We start from the raw sequence: 7,288 nt of genomic DNA on the forward strand, positions 1-7,288 counted from the left end.
GGTCACCTTGCACACTGTGGAAGCTTTGTTCTTTTGCTCTTTGCAATAAATGTTGCTACTGCTCACTCTTTGGGTCCACGCTGCTTTTATGAGCTGTAACACTCACCTTGAAGATCTGCAGCTTCACTCCTGAGCCCAGCAAGACCACGAGCCCACCAAGAGGAATGAACAACTCCAGACACGCTACCTTAAGAGCTGTAACACTCGCCGCGAAGGTCTGCAGCTTCACTCCTGAGCCAGCGAGACCATGAACCCACCGGAAGGAAGAAACTCCGAACACATCTGAACATCAGAAGGGACAGACTCCAGACGCGCCACGTTAAGAGCTGTAACACTCACCGCGAAGGTCCGCGGCTTCATTCTTGAAGTCAGTGAGACCAAGAACCCACCAATTCTGGACACAATAAGAACAACATTTTTTCTCAAGCACAATGCTAGCCAGAAGCCAATGTAACAACATAATTAAGATGCCCCAAGAATAAAACAGTTAATCTAGAACTATACATCTAGCATATTTTTTAAATGAAGGTGAAATATAGGCTTCTCAGAAAAACAAAAGCTGAGGGAATTCATTGCCCACAGACCTGCCCTAAAGGAAGGTCTTTAGGGCAGTCTGTGTGCCCTTCAGCCTGAAGGGCAACAATGAAATAATACGAGATGGAAACTTAGATTTGCATAAAGGAGCAAAGACTGCCAGAAATGATAAATACATGGTTAAACAGAAAAGCTTTTCTCATTCATAACAGAACAAGAATAATAACAGTGTGGTGTGGGATATATAGCTTATATAAAAATAAAGTGGGTAACAAAAATAACACAAAGACCTGGAAGACGGTAAATGAAAACATTTTGTTGTAAGATTCTTCTATCAGATGTAAAGAATTATAATATTAAAGCAAGGTGTACTATGAGTAGTTACAGATATGCAAGCACAGCCATAAGAAAGGCAAAGTCTCTATAGTAATATTGAAGTACACTTCAGGAAGAGAGGGACTTTCAGTTCATAAAAATGCATAACAATTCTAAATCATACATTATACAAAACCTGAGAGAACTAAAAAAACTAGATGAATTCATAATTATAATAGAAGATTATATTCTATCTAGTTATTGTTAGAATAATTAAAATTAAAAAGAAATATATGGAAGATTTACAACACTAGAAAATAATTTAAGAAATTTAGAGAAACTTAGAGAAAACTTCACCTAATAACTGATCTCACGGTCTTTTCAAGTGCACAAGAACCATTCTCCTAGATGTACCGTAAGCTTGGCCAAGAGAAAAGTCTCAATAAATGTAAAAGGATTGAACTCATATAAAATATGTTCTCTGACTGCAATGGAATTAAAAATCAATAATAAAATTATATTTGGAAAATCTGTAAGTATTTGGAAATTAAACACATTTCTCCATGACTCACTGGTCAAAGAAAAAATCTAAAAGAAAACTGCAAAAGAGTTGGAACTAATGACAATTAAAACCTAATTATGAGCTACAGTAGTCCTTAAATAAAAATTGATAGCCTGAAATGCTTATATTAGAGAAAAAGAGTGGCATAAAATCACTGTTATAGAGTTTCACCTTTAAGGTAGAGGATAAGAGTAATTAAATTAAAAAAACAGCAGAAAGAAATAATGCAGAAACCATTGAAATAGAAAACACTTCAACAACAGAGAAAAATCAAAGAAACAAAAAGTAGGCCATTTGGAAAGGTCAATAAAATCAATAAATCCCTACCTACATGGAACAGTAGCTAGATTGGGGTTGGAAGAGGAGGGAGAGAGAGGAAGAGAAAGAGAACACACATTACCACTGTCAAGAATACACGAGGGCATATTCCTACAGAACATACAGACATGAAAAAGTTAATAAGGAAATACTATGAATTACTTTTGGCAGCTTAGATGGAAGGGACAAATTTCTTCAAAGACACAATTACCAGTAGTGACCCTAGGCTAAAGAAACTGAATTCAAAATCAAGAAGAGGCTGGGCATGATGGCTCATGCCTGTAATCCCAGCACTTTGGGAAGCCAAGGAGGGAGGATTGCTTGAGTTCAGGAGTTTGAGACCAACCTGGGCAACATAGGAGACCTTATCTCTACAAAAAAATTTTTTAAAGAATTAGTTGGGTGTGGTGGTGAACACCTGTAGTCCCAGCTACTTGGGAGGCTGAGGTGGGAGGATCACTTGGGCCTGGGAGGTCAAGGCTATAGTGAGTCATGATTTTGCCACTGTACTCCAGCCTGGGCAACAGAGTGAGACCCTGTCTCATAAAACAAAAAAAGAAGGAGAAGGAGAAGGAGTAGGAAGAAGAAAAAGCAAAATTGAGGAGAAATTTCTCACAAAGAAATCTCCAGGCCCAGATGTCTTCACCAGTGACTTCTTTCAAACATTTAAGGAAGAAATAATACCAATATTACATAAACTACTTCAGAAGAATGAGAGAACACTTCCCAACTCATTTTTCTGAGGCCAGCATTATCCTGAAAACAACACCAAAGATGTCTTAGGAAAAGAAAAGTAAAATTCTAGAGTGTGGAGCTGACTGAGCTAAGGGAGTGTGATGGCTTTTTGATGTGTCAACATTTTGAGGCAGTCATTCCACAGTTAGTCAAACAAACACTAATCCAAGTGCCGCAGCAAAGGAATTTTAAAGAGGTGTTAAAGTTCCTAATTGGTTGTCTTTAAATCTGTAATCTGCCACCTTGATTTAATCAGCTGGATGTCCTTAAAAGCAGGTTTAAGACTTCTGAGAGAAAGGGTCAGAGAGAGAAGATATTCTGCCTGTGGGCAACAGCTCCCGCCTCCTCATGATCTTCCCTTGCTGACTGTCACTCAACTCCTTCAGTGCAAGTCAGACTTGTTTAGCCAGCTCCCACAAAGATGTAAGACAATTATTCGAAATCTCCACCTCTCTCCATTTATTCAGTCATTCACTTTCTGCTTCTCAAGTTGAACCCTGACTGATATACAAAGGATAGCATTTAGAAGTTGTCAGAAAAGTGCACAGAACCAAATTATGCTGGGCCCTACACTCTGCATTAACAAGAAGAGATTTTTCAAGTGCAATTGGATATGAACGGTCATATTATCCGAGGGCTTATCTAAGCAGTTGCTTAAGAAATACTAACTTCTGCGCACTAAACTAAAAAAATAAAATGGCATTACAGTGTTGGTGGGTTTAAAGAGAAACTGGAACCATTGTAGCTCTGGGAAATATATCCCAGGGAAATAATTGAAATGGAGGAAAATACATATCTGCATTAATTTTCTGCCACTGTGTAACAAATTACTACAAACTTAGCAGCTTCAAATATAACACACATTTATAACAACCATTTAGTAGATCAGAAGTCTGGTATGATGTGACTGGGTTCTCTGCCCAGGAAATTACAAGGCTGAAATTAAGATGTCACCAGGTTAAGTTATTGTCTGATGGATACTGGGGGGCAATCTGCCTCCAGGTTCACATGATGGTGGCAGAATTCAGTTCCTTGTGGTTGCAGGACTGAAGACTTGTTTTCTTGCTGGCTATCAGCTGGGAGCCACTCTCAGCTCCTAGAGGCCACCCACATTCCTTACCGTGTGATCCTTTCCATCTTCAACAGAGAATCTCCCTCACACTGAATCTCTGTCATGCTTTGAATCTTTCTGATTTCTGGGACCCAGATTCAAAGGGCTCATGTGATTAAGTCAGATTCATCCATATTATCTTCTTTAAGACAATAGTGCCATGTAACATAACCTAATCATGGATGTGAAATCCATTCTGTTCACAGTACTGGGAGTTAAAAAGGGTATAAACACCAGAGACTGGGAAAGTCTTGAGGGCCATCTTAAAATTCTACCCACCATAATACTATCTATCTATCTATCTATCTATCTATCTATCTATCTATCTATTTATTCTAATCTAGATAGGTGTATAGATGGCTAGGCACACAGAGTGCTTATTCCTGCACTATATGCATTTGAATATGTAACTACTGAACAAAAAACCAAATTCCGATCTAGGCCAGATAGCCGTTAGTATGTTAGATAATGGGATATCGTCATTATGTTAAAACACGTTTCTCTATGTTTCTGTGATGTCCTCACCCACTTGCCACCTCTAATGGCAATGTAGGTGGGAAAACGCAATATGGAATGGTGCATATGCGGTGATAATAGGAATTACAAAATCAAAAAAGTATTAGAAGTCTATAAGGATCAGAATGAGAATGGGGAAGGCAGAGAGTTTTTTTTTTTGTTGTTATTGTCATAGTCATTGTAAGGTGCGGGGAGAACAAAGAATGAGCCAATGTGTTAAGATAAACAAATGGGTTTCTATTGCCTTTACCCTTTTGGGGTTTCTGCCCACACTAGACAAAATTTTCAAAATATTTGGACAGAAGTAGAATGAATTTGGCAAACATATGGTGCCAGTTGAATCCAGACTCCCTGATCATTTTAAGGCTGTGCAAAGCTGGCTTGCAGGGGCAGGGTGGCTGGGGGAGATGAATTAAATAACGAGGATGGAGGAAGGAGCTCCAGCTGCCTCTTAAGGAGTTGAGTGACTCACTTCTAAAAGGTTCCTCCTGCAAGTACTCCTCATCTGAGTCACTAATTAGGAGACAGCTGGAGTAACTATAAAGTCCTTCCTTTCTCTCTGGAGCCTGCTGTCCAAACCCCTTTCCCCTCTGGTTGCCAGGCCCAAGTCCTTGTTGCTGACTGATCTCTCCAGGCTCTGGACAACTTGCCTTCACACTTGAGGTGGCACACTTCATTTTGCTTGCTTTACCAACCAGACGTCTCCTGGCAGGCCTGGTGTGGAGAGGATGAGTGGGGATTGAGGCCTGCCGTTTGTCTTCACACTTCAGAGGGCTGAGTAAATGAGTTTTTCTTCCCAACAGTAAAAGCACTGACACAAAGGGACCACGTTTATTTAAGCTTATTAATTCGCACATCCATCTTCTTGGTGGATTCATGTCCTAAATTTGGCCAGAAATCACAGAATAGACTAAACTTTTTAGGAAGCCCAAAAATTGCTTTCAAATGGTACAAGCTAGGTCAGAAACCAAGGATTCATGGTGTATAGTCCCTATAGCAACCTCTCAGTTCCTGCCCCCACCATTTCCTAAATCATCCTTTAATGTTCTTTTTTTCCATTTCATAAGAATGCTTTCAAGCTTTAAAAAAATCTCTCCCTTGGCTGGGTGCAGTGGCTCATGCTTGTAACCCCTGTACTTAGGGAGGGTGAGGCAGGTGGATCACAAGGTCAGGAGTTCGAGACCAGCTTGGCTAATAAGGTGAAACCCCGTCTCTACTAAAAATACAAAAATTAGCTGGGTGTGGTGGCACACCTCTGTAATCTCAGCTACTCGGGAGGCTGACGCAGAATTGCTTGAACCTGGGAGGTGGAGGTTGCAGTGAGCCAAGATCGTGCCACTGCACTCCAGCCTGGGGCGACAGAGTGAGACTCTGTCTTAAAATATATATATATATATAAAATATATAATATATTATATAAAATAAATATATAAAATATATAATATATTATATAAAATAAATATATATAATATATAATATATTATATAAAATAAATATATAAAATATATAATATATTATATAAAATAAATATATATAATATATAATATATTATATAAAATAAATATATATGATATATAATATATAAAATAAATATATATGATATATAATATATTATATAAAATAAATATATATGATATATGATATATTATATAAAATAAATATATATGATATATTATATAAAATAAATATATATGATATATTATATAAAATAAATATATATGATATATTATATAAAATAAATATATAATATATATAAACATATATTATATATAATATATATAAACATATATTATATATAATATATAATATATATTATATATTATATATTATATATAATATATATTATATATTATATATTATATATTATATATATTATATATTATATATAATATATATTATATATTATATAATATTTATATAATATTTAAATATATTTAAATATATTATATATTATATATTCATATATAATATATATATTATATATAATAATATATATATTATATTAAATTATATAATGTATATTATATATATTATGTATTATATAATATATAATATATATTAAATATATATAAATATATATTATATATAATATATTATATTTATATATAAATATATTATATATAATATATTATATTATATATAAGTATATAATATATTCTATTATATATAAGTATATAATATATTCTATTATATATAAGTATATAATATATTCTATTATATATAAGTATATAATATATTCTATTATATATAAGTATATAATATATTCTATTATATATAAGTATATAATATATTCTATTATATATAAGTATATAATATATTCTATTATATATAAGTATATAATATATTCTATTATATATAAGTATATAATATATTCTATTATATATAAGTATATAATATAATATATATTTATATATAAATATATAAATAAATATAAATATATATAAATATATGTATATATAAAATCTCTCTCTTTTCTAACATGTCAGTGAGGGCTCAGAAGAGCAAAATAAATTTTCCCATTTGACTTCTAAAATCCTTGGGACAAATGTGGGTGGGGTGAGGATATCAGGATGCAGTTGAAAAGCAGAGGTTTTGTTTTATTTTGTTTTGTTTGGGTATTTTTGCCACTCCAGGGTCCTGTCACTAAATTTTAATCATTGCAGCCCTGCTCCTGTTCACAAATGCAGGTAGTAAATTTAGGTCTACCACAACTGAGTTGTTTTATTCAAAAGCTTCCTGAAATCTTCACTAATCTTCACAGTAAATGTATGAGGTAAATGTAATTTCTCCAAACCTCAGATGCCACAGGTTGGTGACTTTTTCAGATGAGAAGCAAGTCAGTAGAAAGACCAGGATATAATTAGTGAAAACAATTCCATGAAATCCGAAGACCTATGACAAAAGAAGACAAATATTTGCTAGAAAAGAAGAAAGGAAAACATGCAAAGAATGTTGAAAATGCAAAATTGCAAAGGCTTCTTTCCATTTGTCCAAAATAAAAAGAAAAAAAAAGAATATGTCTTTATTACAGCCAATTTGGAAAAAGTTTGGCAGTTTCTTTAAATGTTAAACATACCTTTACCATACAACCCCAACAATCCTGGGTATTTACCCCAGAGAAACAAAAGCATATGTCCATACACTCGTATATGAATGTTTTCAGCAGTTTTGTTGGTTAGGGCCACAAACTGGAAACA

General features: G+C 34.2%; 1 annotated feature.

The window, feature by feature from the left end:
- Window positions 4,667-4,867: a silencer, noted in NCBI's record as "peak4615 fragment used in MPRA reporter construct". NCBI's record gives its function as "represses an SCP1 promoter by STARR-seq MPRAs in K562 erythroleukemia cells {active_cell/tissue: K562}" and the evidence as "EXISTENCE:reporter gene assay evidence [ECO:0000049][PMID:32103011]".

Source organism: Homo sapiens, chromosome 3 (genome assembly GCF_000001405.40).
Source record: "Homo sapiens chromosome 3, GRCh38.p14 Primary Assembly".
NCBI classification, from domain to species: domain Eukaryota; kingdom Metazoa; phylum Chordata; class Mammalia; order Primates; family Hominidae; genus Homo; species Homo sapiens.